At 35.1% G+C, this 25,202-nt stretch overlaps 1 protein-coding gene and 1 pseudogene across 21 annotated transcripts in view; one reads left to right on the plus strand and one right to left on the minus strand.

The window, feature by feature from the left end:
* Window positions 1-25,202, plus strand: part of FER (FER tyrosine kinase) — a 448,945-nt gene that overhangs the window by 146,015 nt on the left and 277,728 nt on the right. For 19 of the 21 annotated variants that reach the window (XR_007058589.1, XR_007058591.1, XR_007058590.1 and 16 more), the window contains one exon: window positions 3,748-3,937. Coding sequence is in view for 17 of the 21 variants with exons in the window: in NM_005246.4 (NP_005237.2) it covers window positions 3,748-3,937 (190 nt within the window). In the remaining 4 variants the exon portion in view is untranslated. Of the gene's footprint in view, window positions 1-3,747; window positions 3,938-4,051; window positions 4,223-25,202 lie in introns of those variants that run through there. The other 2 variants (NR_146155.2, XM_047416946.1) reach the window with 2 other exon arrangements.
* LSM2P2 (LSM2 pseudogene 2) lies at window positions 79-759 on the minus strand (annotated as a pseudogene).

The following is a 25,202-nucleotide window of genomic DNA, read 5'->3' on the forward strand; positions in this document are numbered from 1 at the left end:
TTTTCACACTGCTAATAAAGACATACCCAAGACTGGGTAAATTATAAAGGAAAGAGGTTTTTTTTTTTTTTTTTCCCCTGCATCATAAATTTTATTCCTGATGTGGGACAGATTCCTTCCATCTCCAAATGAATCACATGCTGCCCCTGAAAGACCTAGGAAACTCTTCCACCATCTCCAGGGAAGTAGCAACAAAGGCAGGTGCTGGGGACTGGAAGGCTTTGAAGTTTTCCATCCTACTTTTTCTCACCTTCTCAACAGAGGATAGCTGTTCTCTATTATTCCTCTCATCCACTCATCCCTTAAAAAACCCCACAAAACGATCATTAGTAAACAAACAAACAAAACCTCTTCAAGTATTGGGCATTAGGGGTTCAGGTTGGGACTTGGGGGTCACCAATGAAAGAGGAAGGGGAAGAGGAGGAGGAGCCATCACTGTTTCTGCTGCAAGGGTTCCTTCCTTGCTGCATCCTGTAGCAACTGTTTGTGGACCTCGTCTGCTGGCAACTGCATGTATCGGACCACTGAGCCCTGAATGAAGCAGTTCTTCACTGATAACATGTGAGGATATTTCTCAGAGTCTATGACACTGATATTAGTTAGTTTGATGTTGAGATACCGATCCACAGAATGGAGGGTTCCACAGATGCTCAGGTCATTCTTGAGTTCCACGACCACATGCTTGCCCTCAAGGGACTTGAAAAAATAATAGAAGAGCGTGGTGCTGGTCCTGCGGGCTGGACCAGAAAGAGGACAGGGGAAAGGAAAGAGGTTTAATTGACTCACAGTTCCACATGCCTGGGGAGGCCTCACAATCATGGTGGAAGGTGCAGGGGAAGCAAGACACGTCTTACATGGCAGCAGGCAAGAGAGAGAGCATGTGCAGGGGATCCCCCTTATGAAACCACCAGATCTCATGAGACTCACGTACTGCCGCGAGAACAGCACAGAAAAGACCCCCCATCATGTTTCAATTACCTCCCAACAGGTCCCTCTCATGATACGTGGGAATTAGGGGGGCTACAATTTGAGATTTGGGTGAGGACACAGCCAAATCATATCGGGCTATTCAGGTTCCCAGTGAGGATTAGAGAAAATGGATTGTTGTAGTTAGAGAATCAGTTATTAGTGATTTTTAAAAATTATACAAATGTTTTAGAATCATTTTGGAAGATCCCATTTATTATCCAGGGTAAAATAAAGGTGAAATAACAGTAAAGCATAGAGATTGGAAACATCATGAGAAGTCACTTGTTAAAATTAAGCTGTTTCTCTAAACTTGAGAATATATATGACTTGAAATCGTTTTTTCAAAATTTTAACTTTTTATAATGGTTTAATCTTTTCCTTTTAAATGAACATAAAATGGATATGTTGTCTATCAGGGTTTGTATTACTTTCATCTTGCTGCTGTAGCAAATTGCCACGAGTACAGTAGCTTAAAACAACACAGATTTATTCTCTTATAGTTCTGGAGGTCACAAGTCAGAAATCAGTTTTACTGGCCTAAAACTATGGTATTCCTAGGGCTAGTTTCTTCTAGACACTCTAGGGGAGAATTTGCTTCCTTTGCCTTTTCCAGTTTTTAGAGGCTGTCCTCATTACATCACTCTTGGTCCCAAGTTACACTGCCTTTTCTTCCACCATTTCCATTGTCACATCACCTTTTCTGACATTGTTCATCTTGCCTCCTTCTTGTAAGTATTCTTATGATTACACTAGGCCCACCTGAATAATACAGGATAATCGGACATCTCAACATCCTCAATTTAATCATATCTGAAAAGTTTCTTTGCCACGTAAGCTGACAAACACTACAGGTTCTGGGCATAAGGATGTGGTTATCTTTTGGGGGACATTATTCAGCTGACCATAGGTTTAAGAGAGTAAAATGTATATTATTTACTTCCATAAATAAATGTTTTTGAATTATATTCAGATGTTCAGTTAATATTTACTTGCCTTGTGCCTTGTCATTTCTGATTTCATTTTGCAAAGTTTATTTTTATTCTTTTAAATTTTTTTTATTTTTCCTGGTAGTCTTTATGAAATTCGTTTGTGTAAAATTACTGTAACAATACTACTTTAGAGTATTATTATTTTGAAGTATACCTCCCTGTTGATTTTGCCCACATTTTTGAAATCATTCACCTTTTTGTGACTGATATTCCGGAAGTACATGAAAATATATTTTTCCACTTTACCTTGTATGTTTTAAATTATTTCTTATATTGTTGTCATTGTTGGAGTCTTTTTTTTTTCTTGGTAGCTAGGAGATGCAAAGAGGAAACCCTCTGGAAGCTTTAAGTACATAATGGGTGCAGTCTTTTCCAGGACCTGGTCCTTAGAAATTTATGTTCACAAAAGTGATTCTTTTAAAAAATCAACTTTCTTTCAAGAGATTACTGAGAAATCAGAAATGTCAATTTATTATTAAAAAGAAGATACTAACTAATAAATAAACCAGCATGAACTTATGAAGAAGTCTGTGGATTTAGAACACAGATCACAGACTGTTGAATGATAATGATGTAAATGCTGATTACCATTTATTGAATTCCACTGGAGAGGTCTGTCTTCTGGATATTACTAGGTCTCTCACAAATGTTCTTACTCATTAGTTTTACTTTTCTTAGACTTTTTTCTCTACTGTTTGTTAGGACACTCACCTGAAACTTGTTACAATAAGGAGATTACAGCTTTCTTTATAGCAGTCACTGAGGTTGCACTGTGCTCAATTAAGTTTGAATTTAGTTTTCAAAATATCCATCAGCATCATATATATAAATAAATCTCTCTTAGTGTGGGTTACTTTTGTCTGTGAATATTTATTCAGTTTATGTTGAGACTTATAGTTTAAATTTAAGAAGATAGTATTTTCTGACCTTATTTTCCAATTTTGACATTTTGTCTAATTTATAATCTATTGTCTCTTACATATTAATAACTTACTTTCAGCAGTGCATGGCACGGTCCTTTTTGGAAATTATTGTAATATATAGTGTGGGCTATTTCCAGAAGTATCTACCACCACTACCTGTTTACACGTGGCTTCAATGTGGGTGAATTAGTTTGAAATTCCCATTGAAGGCAGCCTCCAAGGGTTAAAAAGTCACAGTAAGACAACCTGTGGCCCTGTACTTTAAAGGAGGGATGGGAAAGTATACTGTATTTATATTGGAGACGTTGGAAAGATTTGGAGACCTTTGTTTTACTCATTCCTCCAGTTACATCTTAGCCCTTAGTCCTTGTCATAGTAGTTTCACTTGCCGCCAGACACACATCCCTCACAACATATACACAAGCTTTGTGTCCAGACTGTCACCTTGATTTTATTTATTTTACCCTAGGCACAGATCTGACCCTAGCTATATTGCCTTTGATACTTAAAGTAAATTTAAGATCCTGCTTCTGTTATTTTAATTCATTCTAGGCCCTATACCTCTGGACCTAAGTGTCTACTCTGTGAGGTATATAGTTTAGCTAAAATAAAATGAATGCCATAGATCATAATATATTTGAAAGCATCTTGAATTTGGATTTGACTCCAAACACTTCATTATATTTTGTTAATGCTAGCATGTAATAAATACTGTGATAACTTAAAATCTGCTTAGTTTCATATTTTTTATGATTCTAAAGGGCTCTTATAAAAATGAAATCAAAGAAAAGCATAATTTACATATATGAGGTTTCCTTAATGTCTTCTTAATGAAGTTGAAATCATTTATATTTATTCTCTTTTAGTATTGTGCTTCTGCTAAGCCAAAAACAGGCACTTGAAGAACTGAAACAGTCAGTCCAGCAGCTGAGATGCACTGAAGCAAAGTTTTCAGCACAGAAGGAATTACTAGAGCAAAAAGTGCAAGAAAATGATGGGAAAGAGCCACCTCCAGTAGTAAATTATGAAGAAGATGCACGATCAGTTACATCTATGGTAAGCTAAAGAATAATCCAATGAGAAACTTGGAAGAGTAGTGTCTAGGTAATAAGTGCATACAAAAATTATTTAAATTTGCTATAACAAATTGTTACTCTTGTTAATATGCAGGTCCTATTAAACTTGTTTGTAAATGCAAAATAGACTTGTCAGTCACCTCAGGTCACCTGGAGAGCACTTTCAGGAACCACCTGTAGAGTCAGAGGAAAAAGTTCTTCTCTTGCCTTCAAAACTGAAAGGAAAGACTGCAGTTGTTTTTATTCCTGGGAGACAGCAGGAAGGTAGGGTCTTATTCTTAAGAGAGAAGTAAGCAATAAGAAGAAAGCTATTTATTGATTTTTTTCTTCTTAAGTAGAATCTTATTTATCTGAGATTGCTGGTGTATTTATTGCTTTTAAAATACAAAATATTGATTTAGTTTAAGAATTTTTTTTCTGCTCATAAATGTGACCCTTAGACTACAATAAATACATTCAAATTCACCAACTTGAAATTCAACTTTATTTCATAGTTTTATTAACTGTTTAAGAATGCCTAGTATAAAGTCTTTCTTCTTCTCTCCTTTCCTTTCCACTCCTCTCCTTTCTTCTCTTCTTTGCTCCCCTCTCTCCTCTTCCTTTCTGTCCTCTCCTTTCCTTTCCTTCCTCTTTCTCTCTCCTTTCTCCTTCTTCCTTCCTTTCCCTCCCTTCCCCTCCCCTTCCTCCCTTCCCTTCCCTTCCCTCCCTTCCCCTCCCCTCCCCTCCCTTCCCCTCCCCTTTCCTTCCTTCCTTCCTTCCTTTCTTTTTCTTTTTCTTTCCTTTCTCTCTTCCTCTTTCTTTTCTCTCTCTTCCTCTTTCTTTCTTTATCTTTCCTTTTTCTATTATCTACCTATTGATCTATCTATCTATGTATGTTGGTGGTTCTCACCCCCTGCCACACACATACCTGGGACATTTGGTAGTATCACCAGACACTGTGATTGTCATAACCAGATCTAGTGGGTAGAGATTGGTGATGCTGGTAAACCTCTTAGAATGCACAGAACAGCCCCTCCCTTCACACTCCCAGCACAAAATTATCCAGGCTAAAATGTCAAAAGTGCCAAGGTTAAAAAAGTCTGAGCTACATCCTTGGCATTTCCTGTGGGTAACTTACAGAACTATTATAGTTATGCTATAGCTGATATTTTAGTACTTTTTACTTTATGTTGTTCTAAATAGTATGATTTGATTAAGTGGGTTCATATGTCTCCATAGCAAAAAAAAAAAAAAAAGACCGTATCTGAGAATACGGTAAATGTAGTAATGAATATGAAGTATTTAAACAATTGTGGTTATTACTATTACTATTAAATATTAAAATTAAACTATTGTGGTTGTTAGTAATATTGAGCCATATTAATCTACACATCACTTTGTGAATTGTGAATTATGAATCCTTGCACTCTTTCACTGTCCTAGCTATAAGGATCTCAGCACATGTACCAAGGACCCTATTAAATTCCCTTTCTTGCTTCATGATTCTTGATAAGTATCTGGCATATGTGTTCTTTCAAAGGAACTTTTGAAATGTTTTCCTTTTGTTTGGCTTTGGAATATCTTATCTAGTAAATCTTTTGTTCACTGAGTGTGGTTTATAATATTTCCCTGTTACCATGACGTTGTGGAATTGGTTATTTAAAGGCTTGGCTGGGCGCGGTGGCTCACGCCTGTAATCCCAGCACCTTGGGAGGCCGAGGTGGGTGGATCACAAGGTCAGGAGATCGAGACCATCCTGGCCAACATGGTGAAACCCTGTCTCTACTAAAATACAAAAAAAAAAAAATTAGCTGGGTGTGGTGGTGTGTGCCTGTAATCCCAGCTACTCAGGAGGCTGAGGTGGGAGAATCATTTGAACCTGGGAGGTGGAGGTTGCAGTGAGCTGAGATCGTGCCACTGCACTCCAGCCTGGTGAAAGGGCAAGACTCCATCTCAAAAAAAAAAAAAAAAATTCTGATCATCTGGAGTTTAATATTTCATAATCATTGAAGAAAAGTTTTGTTTAACTAATGAATAGATAATGTTTCTGAGGTAGTGTATAGTGTAGTTTAAGAGAATGAATTGCCTTCCGGCACCTTCAAGTTCTGCTCTCGTGTCCATTAATTCAATGGTGATAATACTTAATATATTTTTACAAGATGGTGCTGCATATTTCATTTTATCAAATTTATTTTAAATTGTTGAAATACTAATTATAAATTAGATCTTGCCTATTTGCTGAAGCAATGCTTTTAGTCATTAAGGATTTTTTTGTAAAAGAATACTATAATATATGTAGTTTAAAGCAATAAATTAATATTTTACAAATAAGACAGGGCATTCTTACAAATTAATGCCAGTTAATGAGATTTTACAGCATTTTTTCAGAACAATTAGAAATTTTTACAATGCCCAATTCCTAAAACTTAAGAATACATCTACATGTGTCAGTGAAATCTTTGTGTAATTCAGTTTTTCAATTAATAATTAGAATATTACTTTTCAGTTTACTTGGAAACGAAAACAATCAAAGCTTTAAATGATTTTGTCCCCAAATGACTGTTTAAGCATTGCTTTATGAATAATGTTACAAGAAAAGCCTGGAATTCACATAAGTGGTTCTATTGGTATTTTCTCTTTATAAATTCCATTGCTATAAATGGTATACAATTTCAATAAGAGACTTATTTGAATATTGGAAGAATTGGAAGAACTCAAAATTAAACTATTGTATCATGGAAAATTGTGAAAATTTGTGTAAATATTATTTGAGAGCAGGAGAGACAATGAATTATGCTCCATGATCTTAGTTAATGGCAGTGTTACTGAAAATACCGACTCTTCGGTGGTGAATGCTTCTGTAGAAGAGTGCTTTAAGGAACTGTACCATTGAAATGTGCCATGCATTGGGTATTCTTATAAAGGTTCCAAATGATCAAATGTGTAATCAGGGTTGGGGTTGTATAGTCAAGTTCTTAGTGTTTGATGTTTATTTTGTCTTAGTCTTGATGTTTATTTTAGCTCTATGAGTCAATGAGAGTTAAAGCTCATTGTTACAGTTTAAACGTTTGCTCTCTCCAAAACTCATGTGGAAATTTAATTGCCATTGTAAGAGTGTTAAGAGGTGGGACCTTTGAGAGGTGATTAGGTCAGGAGGGCTTCATCCTTATGGATGTAATTAATGTCTTTATAAAAGAGGGAGTTTGGCTCCCCTTTACCTCTTTGCCCACCTCCCCACCCCCGCCATGTGAAACCAAAGGATTCTTTTCCTTTGGAGGATGCAGTCTTCAGTGGTCCATCTTGGAATTGGAGATTGGGCTCTTTTCAGATGCCAGGTCTGCTAGCACCTTGATCTTGGACTTCCTGGAACTGTGAAAAATGAATTTCTTTCTTTTTTTTTTCCTTCACAACTATGCTAATGAGGAAAGCTGTGGTTATGCTAGATAAGTATGATGAATTAAGTAAGAGAGGGGAAGAGGAGTGAAGATGCATATAAGAAAGTGATTATAATGATTAAAGAATTAAAGCTGTGTAATAAAGACAGAGGCCATCAAGAGAGGAATGGAGTATAAGGAAAAGTGCTTTGAGGAGATAGGTTGTTAAATCAGGTGATTATGGCATAATAGGTTAGATAATAGAATCTTAAAATTTTGGAATTTCCTCTAGCCAGTGACAGTAAGCAGAATCAGAAATAAAAGTGAAGCATCTTCAATGGCACACCTGTAAGGGAATATAATAAATAATAATCACTTTGTGTCTACCACAGAAATAAAACCCTGCCATTTTATAAACCTTAATATTATTTAAAAAATAATTTTGGTAGACTGGATGTAGTGGCTCACACCTGTAATGTCAGCATTTTGGGAGGCTGAGGTGGATTTACTGCCTGAGTTCAGGAGTTTGAGACCAGCCTGGGCAACATGGCAAAACCTTGTCTCTACAAATATATAAAAATTAGTCGGGTGTGGTGGCACATGCCTGTAATGCTAACCACTCAGGAGTTTGAGGTAAAAGGATTGTTTAAGGTGTGTAGTTTGAGACTGCAGTGTTCCACGATTGTGCCACTGCACTCCAGCCTGGGTGACAGAGTGAGAGCCAGTCTCAAAATAAAATAAAAATAATTTTGGTCTATTAGTAGAGTAACCTTTAAAAACCATAAATCACAGTTTTACCTTATTTGCAAAGGTTCACTCTACTTCTCTGAACTTAACAGAGTGTTTCTAAGGCTTAGGATAACATTGGAAAGATTAGTCTTTTCTGTTATACCATCAAGCTTATAGACTACCGGAGGGGGAATAAATTCATTTGAACTTTGGCAGTACTCTATTAAAGAGGAAAAAAACGGGCTATAAGAATACACATCTTTAGAGCATTTAGAGATGATATCTTTGAGACCATTATAATTACAAAAGGAGAAGTACAATGATAATTTATGGAAGGTTTTCCTAGCAATGTTAGTCATATTTATTTTGCTAGGCTGGCAGTAGTACTAGTCTGAGTTTTGTTGTATTGATTTGATTCATTAGATTAGATCTTTATTTTCTCTGTGTATTTCCCATTAGTTTGTGGGATGTTAAGAAGTGTACCATGGAGAAGTGAGTTGCAGAATTTGAGTCATGTTGGGTGAAGCCAAAAGAAACAGTAATATTGACTGCAGGAACTTTCTAAGCCTTTAATATTAAATGTCCAAGGGGGAAATAGTATATGGGATGCAGTGTTTCTGAAAATATTGTCCCAATTCCCTTTCAAGGAGCCTCCTGGGAGGACCATAGTGTAATGGAGCATACTTTGGGAAATGCTTAGTTAGAAGATAAATCCTTTCTTATTGAATTGGGATAATGACAGATTAAATGTCTAATAATTCTGAAGAATTTTGAATTGCTTATGTGTTGTTGAATTTAAGGATTATTTTATATAATAGTTCAATTCTAGCTCTTTGGGGTAGAAGAATCTGCCTTCTGGAGCAAATTAGGAGGGTGAACTCTGTTGACTCACAGTGATGAGAATATCAAAATTTTCTAATCTCCAAGTAAACATCAGCTGCTTTCTTATTATATTTATTTATTTATTTATTTATTTATTAAGAGACATGTTCTTCATTCTTTTTTTAGTTATCTAGTTGTAAGAACATAATAAATATTCAATTAGTATATGCTGAATTAAATAATTGGACTTCGTTTTCCCTTCAGAATAATCTGGTTATTTAACTTTATGACAATATATGCTTTGGACCAAACATATAATAATTTTTGTTGAAAGAGTCTCCCTTATATGTCAGATATGTCTAGAATTTATGGCACCATAAAATGAATTTCTACTTTATAAATGTAATTAGCTAGTCTGTATGATAATTGCCTTTGTTTCTGAAATTGCACATTTTGTTTAAGCCCTTTTGCTAGACCAACACACAACATAGATTTTTCTTCTCTGCACATGTTACTTAGTTTTGCTTAATTGAGCAGCAGTATCAGTAAAATCCTATTTTGTTACATTTTCAACCAACAACACATTTAATTTGTTGGCTAAAAATTGTCAGGCCAGGCCTGGTGGTTTGCGCCTGTAATCCTAGCACTTTGGGAGGCTGAGGCCCGTGGATCACTTGAGGTCAGGAGTTCGAGACCAGCCTGACCAACATGGCAAAACCCTGTCTCTACTAAAAATACAAAGATTAGCCAGACATGGTTAAGATCCCTTAACCTTTCTGAGTTTTCTTTTCCGTAGAGGGAGGAAATGAATATATACCTCTTTTGCCTTACAGGATTTCTGTGACACTGAAATGAGATAATGTGTATAAACATATTTTGTATATTATAAAATCCTGTAGAAAAATATCAGCTTCTATTTCAGTTTTTCTAAAAAATGTACCTTAGTTTACAGGTAAATTAATTGATATTCACTGAGTTCTTAAGTATGAATTGTAGATTTTCTGTAAGATTATTTTACATATTTCTTATTCATAAAGGAAAAACCTTAATTTCTTTGGATAGGTAGTACATGCACATTTACATGGGTCTAAGTGTCCTTTCTTAGTGTCCCAGTTCTCTTCCTTAGAGGTAATCTTCCAGAAGTGTTGTATGCAAATAAAAACACAAGTGTAAATGATATGCCTGCTGTTCTTTTTACACAAGTGTTACAGCATACAACAGTAGTGTTCTGTATCTTGCTTTTTTACTTAATGCATCTTAGGTATCATTTTATAATAGTGAATGTACAGTTACTTCAGTTTTTTTTCATTTATCCATTCAAAAAGCAAATATTTATTGAATGTCAGGTGTCAGGTATCATTTTAGGTTTTGGGGATACAGTAGTGAACAAAATAGAATTTGTTTTCACTGTTATGGGCCTTTTACTCTAATTGGAGGGGACAGTGAATAAACAAACAAATAAATACATAGTATGTCACATGGTGGTAAATTCTTTTGAAAAAAAGCAAGATTGGGGGCAATAAGGCAATGAGTGCTGGGAGTTATTTTTATACATAGTGTGGTTAAGGAAGGATTCCTTGATAAAGTGCCATTTGTGCAGATATCTGGAAGAACTGAGAGAGCAAATGAGACTGCTTGGGGTGAGAATATTTCAGGCAGTGGGAAGAGCAGATGAAAGGAGGAACCAAAAGGAAGCCAGTGTAGCTGAAGAGAGAGAAAGTAATAGGAGATAGGGTCTGAGAAGTAATGGGCAGTTAGATCATAAAGTCATACAGACCCACGTAGGACTTCAGTGCTAATTCATAGAGAAATTAGAAATCATTGAGCGTTCTGAGTGAGGGAGTGACATTTTTACATGGTTTTCAATTTTTTGTTGTAAATACATCTTCAGTGAAAATCCTTGTAATACTATTGTGTGTAGTTTATGTGTAAGATATATTTTAGGTTTTGTTCAGCTTATATAGGTTTAGATTTTACTGTCAAAAAAGTTGAAAAGTTTCTGAACCTGAGAACAATGTCAGTTATAGATATTAATTATAACATTAATATTTCAGTTTTGTAGATGAGTAAATTTTTGCTTCCAGCTTTTCTGTGGCATGAATTTTACCATGCTGAACTTCAGTGTCTTAACAAACCATTACTATTATTAAATTCTTCTATGGCTCTGACACCTAAAGTATATTTACAGTTGTATGTTATACTGTATATAAATTTGATATATAAATTTCTAACTTATAAAACAGGTAAGCTAGGAGGTGATTATGATTATAATCATTTTCCAAATGATTCAGGTCAAGATTCCATTCATCAATAGCCATTTTTCTTTGGCTCATATAAATGAAGTCATTTCATATCACGTTAGCCAATGGATGATGCCAGAAACACTCTTTTTCATTAGGCCACAGTATCTTCAGTATCAGGAGAGAAAAAACAATGCTTAAACTTTCAAAGTGTTTTTTAGCTTATATTTTAACTGTTATCTGTGTTCATATTCATATGAAGTTGATATATAGGCCAAAATGAAGTAAATAAAAATAAGATTTTCCATTTGGTTTTGGAAAAACTATATGTATATATTTCAAATTTATCTTTTAAATTATGAATTTCTTAATTTCTTAGCATAAACTAACTGGCCAGGGGTGAACTAGCCCTAGAAGGATATAATAAAAGGAGAGAGAAGATAAAGTTAGGTAAGAATTAAATATCTACTATGATTAATGCAAATAAAAAGAATTCCTCAGATTTATTTATTCAGTCACTTGGGATTCAACAGCGCTTAATGATTACTTACCACAGGATTATTATGTAATGGGGTTTTTTGGGAAAGGTGGGTCAAAGAGATTTAGAAGCTGTTACAGGATTTGGTCGGAGACATGAAGCACAAGTAATTGATTTAACAGTTAATTGAAAGTTGGCTGAATTTTGACTTGTATGTATTTATACATTAAAACATTTTTTAAACTTGTGTTTAGCAGTACCTATATATATACTCAGTAAATGTTTATAGATGAAATGAATAGGTACAGAATTTCAAAAGCAGGTTAAAATTGATGTAACTCAATTTTTAAAATGGTTTAAATGTTAAAATTGTTTTCATCAAGTATTTCCCACTTTATTAATAAGTAATTGTGGCAATGGTATTCTAACAGGGTGAAAAAATCTGGAGTAGTTACAGAGATAATGACTAATGAGTGGTTGTGATAGAATCTTTGCTCTAGGGAGAGCCCCAGCTATAGAGCCAGACTTCTTTGGTTTGAGTCTTTGCCTCACCACTTAAGTAAGTGCAGGGTATAAGCCAAGTTATGGGACTTTTTCTGTCCCCATTTCCCAGTGTGTAAAATGAGATTACTGTGTTACCCACTCTTGGGTTTGTTGCAGGAATAGTTAAGTTTATACATTTAAAGCATGCAGAACAGTGCTTGTCACTTAGTAAACTAGTATTGTCTAATATTTGATTATTTGATGAAACATCACAGAAACAATAATAAGTTAATGTGTGTGCTTACTTTTTTGCTGGTCTTTTTTTCCCTGTTCTTGATGTTATTTTTTCATTAAGCATAAATCCTTCCTTTTAAAAATGCAAACTATTAATTTTTAGATGATAGGTAAGCATGTTTGTGATCTACTCTTCTCTGTACTTGAAATATTGTTGTCTTTTAGCCACAATAGATTGGAAAACATTTTTTAAAAAACTGTCATGTAATTAACTTACGACTTATGCATTACCTTTATAATAGCCCTTTTATGACGTTATTAGAGTTGATCAGCTAATTTTTCAAATATTTTTAGTGTTACTAGTTTATTAGAAGTCTGCTTTTTTCCTTTCTCATACATTATTAAAGTTTGTGTTTAAATTTTTACATGATGCAATTTTTATAAAAAATAGTACATAATCCCATTATTTTAATGTTACTTTTATAGTTTAATTTGAATGAAAGAAAAAAATCCCTAAGTACAATTATATCTTAAGATTATTCATTACTAAAATAATATATATATATGTTTAAATTTGCTGTTATGGAAAATAACAGCTTTTGATACTCATAATACTTCCTTTTAACAATTCTCCTTTCTGCCATCTTATGCAATACCATGATTTTATTCATTCTACCAGTTGAAACCTGTTTTTTCCATTTCCTTTGGTCCCTTTCTCTCAGTATTGTTCAAAGTCTATCTTTCTAACAGTGGTGTAGGGTGGAAAAAATTGTGGGAATTGGAGTCACATTATCCTGGGTTTAATTGCCTTTAGGTGGATTTTCACCCGCTAAACTACAATGTCTTCATCGGTAAAATCTAATTAATAATATACACTTCATAGGATTGTTGGATGTATTTATGAATGAATGTAAAAACAATATACAGCTCCAGATACAATTAGGAAGGTGCTTAATGCACATTTGGTTTTTGTTCCTTTTATTTCCCCTTTTTCTCCATTTCCTTTTTCCCTCTTTTTTTTGTCTCTTCCACCTTTTTCCTCCCTCCTCTGCCTTCTCATTAAACACAATTAGCCAACTTCTTTTCTTTTCTTTTCTTTTTTTTTGAGATGGAGTCTCACTCTGTTGCCCAGGCTGGAGTGCAGTGGCGGGATCTCGGTTCACTGAAACCTCTGCCTCCTGGGTTCAAGCAATTCTTGGGCTCAGCCTTCCGAGTAGCTGGGATTACAGGTGCTGCCACCACACCCAGCTAATTTTTTTGTATTTTTGATAGAGACGGGGTTTTATCATCTTGTTCAGGCTGGTCTTGAGCTCCTGACTTAGGGATCCACCCGCCTCGGCCTCCCAAAGTGCTGGGATTATAGGAGTGAGCCCCTGGGCCCGGCCACAGTTAACCAACTTCTGTAAGTATCTAGTGCCATGGATGTAGATAACCTGGAATAGTAGACAGAGTCTCTGCACTCTTAGATCTACATTCAGCAAGCAGAAAATTGCAATAAACAAATGATTAACAAGAAAACATCAGATAGAACTAAGTACTCTGATGAAATTAATCATTAATATTCCTTAGGCTTCAGTATTTAACACTCAGTCTTCAGTTTGTTTTCTTTTCTTTGTATTCAGGTATCAGTGGATTTTTTTTTCTTTTGTCATGATTTAGACATCAATTGATTGACACCCAAATGTACATTTTCGAGAAAATTGAGAGTACTGGAATACCACTCCAGATAAAGACAAAAAATGAAAGCAGAGAGAAAGTTAAGTGATTTAAGCAAGTTCATGCAGAAAAGGTTAAATGTAGTAAAACATTTTAGTTTATTGAGAACAATTTCATTATTATTTATATACCAATTAGATTTTCTTCCTTTGATTTTCATTTTTAGATTAACTGTTTACCTGATAGAGGTAGTATTACCTGGCGTTCGTTTTGTGTTAATTAAAAAACAAAAACTTTGGACTATGATGATGTAGCTTAATGCGGATATATTGTTTGAGAAACTGAACAGAAATTTAATTACCGGAAAAAGGAATAAAAGATATTTAAATGCATGGCTAATTTGCTGTAATAACTGTTAAAAAATTTTTTAAAAACCTTTTTCCTTCCCTTACATTGCTATAACGAAATAATAGCTGTTAAGAATGAAATTGCTAAAGAAATTTCTATTCATAGATTAATAGTTCTTTTTTCTGCCTATACAATAGTTTTTGGGTGCTCATTAAAAAATATTAATAAATCAATCAAAAGTAATTACTTGGCATATAAACCATCACATAACATGTTCAAGTCATTTTGTTACGATTTTTAAAAATAATTTCATTTTCTTCAACCTGAAAAAAGTCATTCCAGCCTATACAATTTGGTTGCTAATCTCTCTATTAAACTGTGTAGTATTTGTTTTAAAATTTGTATTTGCTGAGGCAGGAGAATGCTGTGAACCCGGGAGGCGGAGCTTGCAGTGAGCCGAGATGGCGCCATTGCACTCTAGCCTGGGCGAGTGAGCGAGACTCCGTCTCAAAAAAAAAAAAAAAAAAAATTTATATTTGAAGGCCAGGTGTGGTGGCTGGCTCATGCCTGTAATCTCTGTACTTTCAGAGGCCAAGGTGGGTGGATCGCTTGAGCTCAGAAGTTCTAGACTAGCCTGGGCCACATGGAGAAACCCTGTATCTACAAAAAGTAAAAAATTAGCTGGGTGTGGTGGCACGTGCCTGTAGTCCTCAGGAGACTAAGGTGGGACGATGGCTTGAGCCCAGGAGGCAGAGGTTGCAGTGAGCCAAGATGACATCACTGTTCTCCAGCCTGGGCAACAGAACCAGACCCTGTGTTAGAAAACAAACAAAACAATTATGTTTGAAGATGTTCTATCTGGCGGCTTAATTGTGGGTAGATTTTTGACAATGTATGTAGTGAAGGATTTATATGTTTTTGTCTCCAAAATCTTGTGTCTTGAATTTTGATAATTATTTTATGACATTAATTTCTTTAACTGAAAGTTTTTATAAAGAGAATGTGTGAATGTTATGATTTATTGCTTCATTTGGTACCAGATGAATTTTAAATCCTTTTTTTTATTATAGTATTGTGCAGAAAGTTGTTTCTCATTATACATATTTAAAAGCTTAAGGATCCACTGTTAATTTTTTAAATCATCGGTTTACTTCGCAAATCACAGATGAAGGATGTGATCTGAAACTAAGGAAAGGTTTTCTCTATCACAGTGTATCTAGAGATCTTTGAGAGTAGAGGCTAAGTTTTCTTGAAAATTCTCAAGGTTGTGTAAAAAAATCATTTGTTCCTTGGAAGGAGAAACAACTCATTCCAAAGTATCAGTTACACTTCTATTCTATATTTAACTATATGGTATATGTTGTCAGAGGACTGTAAGAAGAATATAAACAAATTCAGATGTTTAAATCTGTCTTCTTTTTGAAACTTGAATTAATGCTGTCATACTGGTGATGTTAGAAAAAAAACATTTGAACAGCTGGAAGGGTACCACATAGTTAAGAAACAATCTTCGGACAGACTAATAGAGAAGAATACTTCGGTGAAGTAAACTCCAATGTATATGTATTTATATATGTATCATATATATACTTATATATAAATAAAATAATATTTTGAGGAAAACAAAACTTTTTATGTTGGATAAATATCAATTTTGATTTTAAACTTATGCTACATAAAGAGGAAATTTCAGATGTATTAAATACTCAAATATTTTTAAAAAGCCACAAAACTACTAGAAGAAAATATTACTGAACATTTTCCTATGTTGGAAAATAAACTGAATTAAAATGCAGGATAAAAACTGGGAATAATATGTACTGCTCTTGTGACAAAGTATTAATGTTTGTAAATATATAAGTAGATCATCCAAATTGGTTTAGAAAAAAGTAATGCACCAATTAAAAATGGACAAAGATTATGAATAAGATATTCATAATAGATTAAATATAAATTTTTGTAAGATATTTAAAAACTTTTCAAGCCACTAGTAATGAAAATAATGATTAAGAAATGCAATTAGAAATTAATGAACTGTTAAACTTGTCTATCATCATCTACAGTGGCTTCCTTCGAACCTGCTCTCTACTCTAGCCAAAGTTATCTTTTAAAATTTCACATCAGCCAGTCTGGTTATAGTGGTCTCAACAAGAATGGGTACAGTGGCTTTTTATGACTTTCAGGTGAAACACCAAATTTCTTGACCACACTTAGCATAATTTCCCTATTCTTTGGAAGGCTTTTACTTTTTTTAAAAAAAAGGTTTGTTTAAAAATTTAATTCCATTTTAGATTCAGTAGGTATATGTGCAGGTTTGTTACATGAATATATTGTATAATGGTGGGGTTTGGGCTTCTAGTATACCCATCACCCAAATAGTGAACATTGTACCACATAGGTAATTTTCAACCCCCTCCGCTTCTCCCACTTCGCCCTTTAGGAGTCCCCAGTGTCTATTATTTTCAGCTTTATGTCCAATATACCCATTATTTAGCCCCTGCTTATAAGTGAGAACATACGGTATTTGATTTTCTATTTCTGAGTTTTTTCACTTAGGATGATGGATCATGGCCTCCAGCTCCATCTAGTTGCTGCAAAGGACATTATTTCATTATTTTTTATGGCTGCATAGTATTCCATAGGGTATATATACCACATTTCCTTTATCCAATCAACTATTGGTGGATATTTAGGTTGATTCCATGACTTTGCTATTGTGAAGAGTATTACAATAAACATATGAGTGTAGGTGTCTTTTTGATATAATACCCAGTAGTGGGATTACTGGGTCAAATAGTAGTAGTTCTATTTTTAGTTCTTTGAAAAATTCTCCATGTTGTTTTCCATAGAAGTTTAACTAATTTACATTCCCACCAACAGTGCATAACATTTTCTTTTCACCACATCCGCACTAGCATCTGTTGTTTTTTGACTTTTTCAACATAGCCATTCTGACTGACGTAAAATGATATCTCATTGTGGTTTTAATTTGCATTTCTCTGATGATTAGTGATGTTGAGGTTTTTTTCATATATTTCTTGGTCATGTGTATGTCTTCTTTTGAGAAATGTGTGTTCATGTCGTTTGCCCACTTTTTAATGGAGTTGTTCATTTTTTTCTTGTGTTGTTTCAGTTCCCTATAGATTCTGGATATTAGTACTTTGTTAGAGTCATAACTTGCAAATATTTTCTCCTATACTGTAGATTGTGTGTTTGTTCTGTTGATTATTTATTTTGATGTATAAAAACTTTCTAGTTTAAGTCTCATTTATCTATGTTTGTTTTTGTTGCATTTGCTTTTGGGGTTGTTGTCATAAATTCTTCGTGTAGGCCAATGTCTGGAAGAGTGTTTCTTAGGTTTTCTTCTGGAATTTTTATAGTTTCAGGTTTACGTTTGAGTCTTTAATCCATCTCGAGTTAATTTTTGTATATGGTGAGAGATAGGGGTCTAGTTTTATTCTTTTGCATATTGCTAGCCAATTTTCAGAGCACCATTTATTGGATAGGGTAGCCTTTCCTCACTGTTTATTTTTGTGAACTTTGTCAAAGGTCAGTTGGTTGTAGGTAGATGGCTTTATTTCTGGGTTCTCTGTTCTGTTTCATTGATCTGTGTCTATATTTGTACAAGTATCATGCAGTTTTAGTTATGATATGGTTTGGCTGTGTCCCCACCCAAATCTCATCTTGAATTGTAGCTCCCACAATTCCCACGTGTTGTGGCAGGTACCTGGTTGGAGATAATTGAATCACGAGGGCAGTTTTCCCCATACTGTTCTTGTGATAGTGAATAATTGTTACAGGATCTGATGGTTTTATAAGGGGTTTCCTCTTTTGCTTGGCTCTCATTCTCTCGTCTGCTGCCATGTAAGAAGTGCCTTTCGCCTTCTGCCTTCCACCATAATTGTGAGGCCTCCTCAGCCACTTGGAACTGTGAGTAAAGCCTCTTTTTCTTCATAAATTACCCAGTCTCAGGTATGTCTTTATTAGCAGTGTGAAAACGGACTAATACAAGTTACTTTAGCCTTGTAGTATAATTTAAAGTCAGGTAATATGATGCCTCCAGATTTGTTGTTTTTGCTTAGGATTAAACAACAAATTTCTTTAAGTGACCTGCCTAAAGGGTTTACCTTGTCTGGCTCCTACCATGGACTTTTTTTGTTTTTTCTTGAGACAGAGTCTCGCTCTTGTCACCCAGGCTGGAGTGCAGTGGCACAATCTTGGCTCACTGCAACCTCTGTCTCCCAGGTTCAAGAGATTCTCATGCCTCAGCCTCTCAAGTAGCTGGGATTACAGGTGCCCACCACCAAGCCTGGCTAATTTTTGTATTTTTAGTAGAGACTGGGTTTTGCCATGTTGGCCAGGCTGGTTTCGAACTCTGACCTCAGGTGATCCACCTGCCTCGACCTTCTAAAGTGCTGAGATTGACTACAGGTGTGAGCCACTGTGCGTGGCCCTATGAACTCTTACTAATCTGAATGGATACTGGTTGTAATCACAGACATGACGCTATGAAAGAAGAGCAAAACAAGAAAGGAAGATATAAGGATTGAAGGCCTGGGAAAAAAATTTGGGGGGTATTACCTGGGCTGGTTGTATCAATTCAGTTATGAACAAGTGTAGTTGGAGTAAGTAGCTATCAAGTGTGGTCTGAAATCTTACAAGTGAAGAAATTCTGACTGGTAAGTTCCAAGTTAAAAATGGTAGAATGAGTTACTGAAGTTGAGCCTAGATGAGTACTCTTGGAGATGAAGCCATCCAAGGAACTTTGAGGCCTTGGGTATAAGAATCATTTATGATATTGTTGGGGGTTGAGCTGGAAAGAAAATAATCTTAAGCTACTTGCCAAATACAAATACCTCAGTAAATGAAAGGGAGTGTCTGAGAGGTAGATGAGAGTATTGAGAATGTAAATATCCACAAATGGTTTCATTTATGCTATTATTATACCTACTGCATCTCTTATAATTATTTTCTATATAAACTTTTACTGCTTAACACAGTACCTGGCAAAGAGTAGGTACTCGATAAATTTTTCTTTGAACATGCTTGATATTGCAAAATGAAACCATCAGCATTTAGGTTGCAGTTTTTAGTTAAATGTGTGACTCACTCTACATATTCCTTGTATATAAATACCAAACAAAAACAAAACACTAAGCTAATGTATAGGGGTAAATTAGTCTAGTATCTGTGTGATAAAGTAATAAACTCATAATTCTGACAGAAAGGAAAGGATGCAGAGTGATAGTCTTGACTAACATAGCTATCATTTATAGATAGGCAAAGTAGAAATTTGGCATACTGTGTTATTTAAGCAGGGCCAGAATGAACTATGTCCTCTAAAATATCTTAGCCACAACCACTACTTTGGAAAGCCTATTGGGCAGTGTCTACTAAAGAAGGAAATGTGTACACCCTGTGACTCAGTATATCTGCTCCTGGATATATACTCAATAGAAATACATACATATGCTCTCAAAAAGGCATGTACAAGAATATTCACAGGAGCACAATTTATAATGACCCCAGCTAGAAACTGTCCAGATGTCAGTCAACAGTAGAATACATAAATTGTGGGATACTTACCCAATGGGATACTCCGCAGTAATGAAAATGAACAGATTACAACTACATGCAGCAGTATGGCTGAATCTTACAAAAATAATGCTAAGTGAAAAGACACCAGACATTACATATTCTGTGATTCCATTTATATGGAGCTCAAAAAAATGTAAAAGTAATCAATGACATTCGATTTTAGAATAGTGGTTCCCCTTGGTAGGGTGGGTGTAGTGACTGAAAGGGGCCACACAAGACACTTCTAGAGTATAGACAGTGACTTGTTTCTTGATCTGTGTTCTGGTTACAGGGACTTTTTCAATCTGCAAAAATTTATAACCTGCACACTTTTGATTTGTAAACTTTGCTATATTCATCTTGTACTTCAATGAAAAAATTTAGAAAAAAATTGTTCTAACTTAGCATAGGACCAAAATGAAAGCATGCTTAACTTGTCTCTCTGTGTGTGTGTGTGTGTGTGTGTGTGTGTGTATGTGTTAGATTGTGTGTTGAGCTTTCTATGGCTATCTTTTCAGAATTATCTGGGAGAAGGAGGAGCTTTTTAAACCATATATGCCATACTTACTTTTCTCTGTTACCGACTCTCTAACCATTATTATTACGTTTCTTCTATGGACTATGTACCTCTTATTCTTTCTCTTTTACTGAGAAACTATAGTTCGCTATTATTTTTGATAACAAAGTGTTGTATTCTTCAGATCTCTTGTGGTTGAAAAATAATGACTTTTGGGCAAAGGATTTTTGTCTTAAAGATCCTTATTAAATTCTGAATGCCTCTTGGAGAAGTAGCATGTTAAGCATCATCAGACATTAATATGTACCTCAATTCAGGGGCTTGAGGAATGCAGGAGCGGTGAAATCAGCATGGAAGTAGATAGCACAAGCATGTGAAATGATACTTTGAAGTAGTCTTTATTCTGATAGGCAGGCTAGTGAGGGGCATAGTGCTGGAAGGGAAGGTGAGAAGTTGCTGATGATTAATTTAGCCCATTTCACAAATTTGTGTAAGCCTAGCTCTTCCCTTTTCAAAAGTAATTTAGGTTAAGATAAGTATATAGGAAAAAATAATTTAGAATAGAGGAGAAGGCTTGGGAAAAGCTCTTGAAATTTTGGAAAGAAGAACTCATTTCTTTTCTGTGGTATAGCCAGGAATGGTGGTGGCTACAGGGTTTAGCAAGGACAAGGAGGATATGGGTTAGGCATGTAACTTGGAAGGAGTTGAAGTAAAGTAGGATATGGATTATGAAAGACACCTGGTTTCAGAAGTCAGTGAACAAAGGACTAAGAAGGTTAGGTAGAGATGGAATCCAGTTGGTAAGAAAAAGCTTTAGTTGTCTTTTGAGAGATTTGGTTAACCTAAGAGTCTCCAGAACCTTAGTCATTACAAATAGCTACTTTTGGCCCGGCCCAGTGGCTCATGCCTGTAATCCCAGCACTTTGGGAGGCTGAGGCAGTTGGATCACCTGAGGTCAGGAGTTTGAGACCAGCCTGGCCAATGTGGTGAAATCCCGTCTCTACTAAAAATACAAAAATTAGCCAGGCGTGGTGGTGTCACCTGTAATCCCAGCTACTCGAGAGGCTGAGGCAGGAGAAACGCTTGAACCCAGGAGGCAGAGGATGCATGAGCCGAGATTGCCCCATCAATCAAAATTGACACTCCATCTCAAAACAAAAACAAAAACAAAAAACAAATAACTACTTTCTGAAACTCTGGTAGTTAAATGGCTCTTGTTTGTTTCTTTATAATAAGGCACAGTTTTTATGGAGCCTGAGCGTTGTTCTTATTCCACAAAGGACTTTTTTTTTTTTGGCAAGGGGATAAATTACTCTGTCCTAATTAAAATTTAATTTTGATGGGAACTCTTTTCTCTCCCCCAGTTTTTTGTTGCTAAGGCCATTAAGGAAGAATTAAGAAAGAGGGAAAAGGAGATATGTGTCAGGAGAAAGGTAGCAAAAGAAACAGGTGAGGGAAGGAAGAAGATCAGTAAAGAAAGGTGAGGAAGATGAAAGGTAAAGAACAGAAGAGAAAGAAAATACAGGAATGAGAGGCAGATAAAAGGACAAACAAAAAGGGAGTAGGAAAAAGGAGATGAAGAAGAGGGTCTGAGGTAAGAAAAGCTTTTCATTCCCTCTTCTTTCACTTTTCCCATACTCCCCTGCTTGACACAGGGTACTATGATATGACCCACTTCCCTCTTCTCTCCTGCTTTACTCTCCAGGTTTCCATTTTTATTGACTACTGACTTGTGAACTTTTCCTCTGTTTCTTTTTTAAACTGGAGCTGTACAAGGTAAGAATTCATAGACAAAAGGCATTGATTATATTTGCATTCTCAAATTAAAAATATTTGGAATTTAAAATAAAAATATTTATTGAACCAATCTTACCTAAAGGTGTCAAAACTCTTCCTTTATAGTTTAATAAAATCTAACATATGGATCCAATTTGTGGTTCAGATACTTAGGAAAATTCATTATTATACTTGATTCAAGTTTTACATCAACAGCCTAGTATAAAATTTTTAGAAAATTTGTTTATCTGTACTTACTTGATTCATTCCAAATTGTTGATTCCCAAAGTTTTTATTGGGAGGTATTTAATAAGATAAAATGAAATGGGAAATTTAGATGTTTACCTTAATAATTTGGGTACCCCCCCGACCCCCTGCCAAACAGAAATCTGAAATGTAATTAATTGTAGCATTGGATCGGGAGGGGCCTGGATGAGTATAGACTTGCGTTATATATATAGTTACTTCAATTATCTATTAATTATGTTGTGGGTATTTAGATATAGCTTATGTTCACAGTATTATATAATTATTACAGATAGCTGTATTTTTTGATATAGTGAACCTTTTCCAATTTTATTACTTATAAAATATTCATAGTCTTTGCTATTTATTAGGCCCCAGTGTAGGTGTGTTATTATAAAAGAAAATTGCCAGAAAACTCTATCATGTTCGCTCATGGGTTGGATGGCATAAGATGAAATTCAAATAATCATGAAAACTCTTACTGAGATTCGTTTTTGTTCTCCCTTTGTGTATAATAGAATCATATAGACTTTTTGGATAACTGCCAACAATTTCATATTATATTTGATCATGTTTTCCAGGATTTAATTCCTGTATTAAATCTAATACAAATTAATTGAACATAGGATTCTATATTTTGATCAGTTAGCATTTTCTAGTGTGATACAGTATTCTGTATCATCTTTCATTCATATAATTGTCTTTGTGTATTAAACATGTATTTAATCAGAAAATTTCATTGCCAGTCTTTATAAAATAATAATGACAATCCACGAGGCTTTCTTCTATTCCAGAGAACTATGATACAAAGATGATATGTAGATACGTTGATTTTGACTTTTTTGCTAGCTATTTAACTCAACAGAAATTAATACCTATGTGCTTTCTAGCATTTAGAGGCCTCATTTTAACTTAGTGGTTGCTCATTATAATTTTAAAATTGTGCTGAGGAATTAAATCATAATTGTTTCTATTTTTAAGATAGGCCATGCTTTTAAGGTGATGGAGTAATTATTGTAAACACTTAAGATAATTTGGTATATGGGGAGTAAAACAAGCATGGACTAGTCACACTAGACCAATGAAACACTGGTCTTTTGTTCTCCACAGGAATATGAAAGTCTAATTTAACTTTTTTTCAGATAAGTCAGTTTAAGTAGAAATAATTTAATTTTTGTTTGCTCTTCCTTATTGTTTTCTTGGGTGATTTTGGGGGATGTTGCCTCTTTCCCATTTCCCAAAGTCAGAGACAGCTTTGATTTCTTGCTGAGTAGGTGTATGATGTGACTTGGGATTATAACTAAAAACCAAAGAACACAAGGGAAGCTTCTTGTTTGCTTCTAATTTTCCTTAGAGTCAAACAAATGATTAACAGGAAGTATGAAAAAGGTGATACTTTAAGCTTCAGCTTTATCACCTCTAAGAAAGGTAGCTCAGTAGAATGACCATGTCTGGGAGTCTGAAGATGCCAAGGAGCATGATGTCACCAACTCTTGGTAATCAGGCTTTTGTTTTAAATTGTTCAGAGATAAGACTGTGCTCCCTGAATAAGTAAACCTCACATTGCAGGGCTTTTTATAAAAGATTTACATGCTTGTGTTCATTTACTCATTTATTTATTTCCTGCCTTACTCCCCAGAGTATTTGAGGTAGCTAATGACAACAACATTCAGGAAAATATAAATATAAAATAAAATGAGAACCAGGAACAATGTAAGTTGTAACAGGATATCAAGACTATAGTTCATAGGATGTATGTATAGTTACTACCCTAGAGCTACTATTTTGTCTCTAAGCTTTCCAAAGGCCAAAATGAAAAGGGAGATAAAGTCATATAACACTCTTAAATAAAAGAAAGCATGTCACATTGCAGGGGAAGCAAAGCTTTTCATTGTATTGAGCCCTGATAGAATTTCTTACTGGAGGCTTTCATTCTGACGTTCTTAGTGGCGGTGCCCTTGACAATATCACTAAAGCTAATGTAGGAAGGAGACTCATAAGACCATCTCTTGCAGAATCTAGAATCCATCAGTGAAAGTGGAGGCCATGACATCAAAATCATTCTATGTGGGCCTAAGAATGCAGCTGTCTCTAAATTGATTTTATCCAATAATATAATCTAGACTTAGAATAATGGGTAGTGGACTGGGTGTGTGTTTTTTCTTTTTTTTTTTTTTGAGATGGAGTCTCGCTCTGTTGCCCAGGCTGGAGTGCAGTGGTGCGATCTCTGCTCACTGCAAGCTCCGCCTCCCGGGTTCACACCATTCTCCTGCCTCAGCCTCCCGAGTAGCTGGGACTACAGGCCCCCGCCACCACGCCTGGCTAATTTTTTTGTATTTTTACTAGAGACGGGGTTTCACTGTGTTAGCCAGGATGGTCTCGATCTCCTGACCTCATGATCCGCCCGCCTCAGCCTCCCAAAGTGCTGGGATTACAGGCGTGAGCCACCGCGCCCCGCCTTGGACTGGGTGTGTTTTTAACAATCCTTTCTTAGTGTCATTTCTCTCAGCTAAAGTTTGGATATGCAATGGATAATTGTATTCTGTGTGGAGTTCTCAATTGTATTCTGAGGAGAGTTCTCGATTGCAGATATTCTATACTTGTTTGAGGCTAGATCTGTAAAATTAGTAGGATTTGTTAGTTAATTCATTAGCTGAGTTTCAAAAATTTTGAAGCTGTATTTTAAAACAATTAGATAATTTCTGTGTTAAAAATAATGTTTATATTTGTGAAATTATAACTCCCACAAGTTATTGAAATCACTTCCCTTTTTAGGATTAAAAAAT

This window comes from Homo sapiens, chromosome 5, assembly GCF_000001405.40.
Source record: "Homo sapiens chromosome 5, GRCh38.p14 Primary Assembly".
Taxonomy (NCBI): domain Eukaryota; kingdom Metazoa; phylum Chordata; class Mammalia; order Primates; family Hominidae; genus Homo; species Homo sapiens.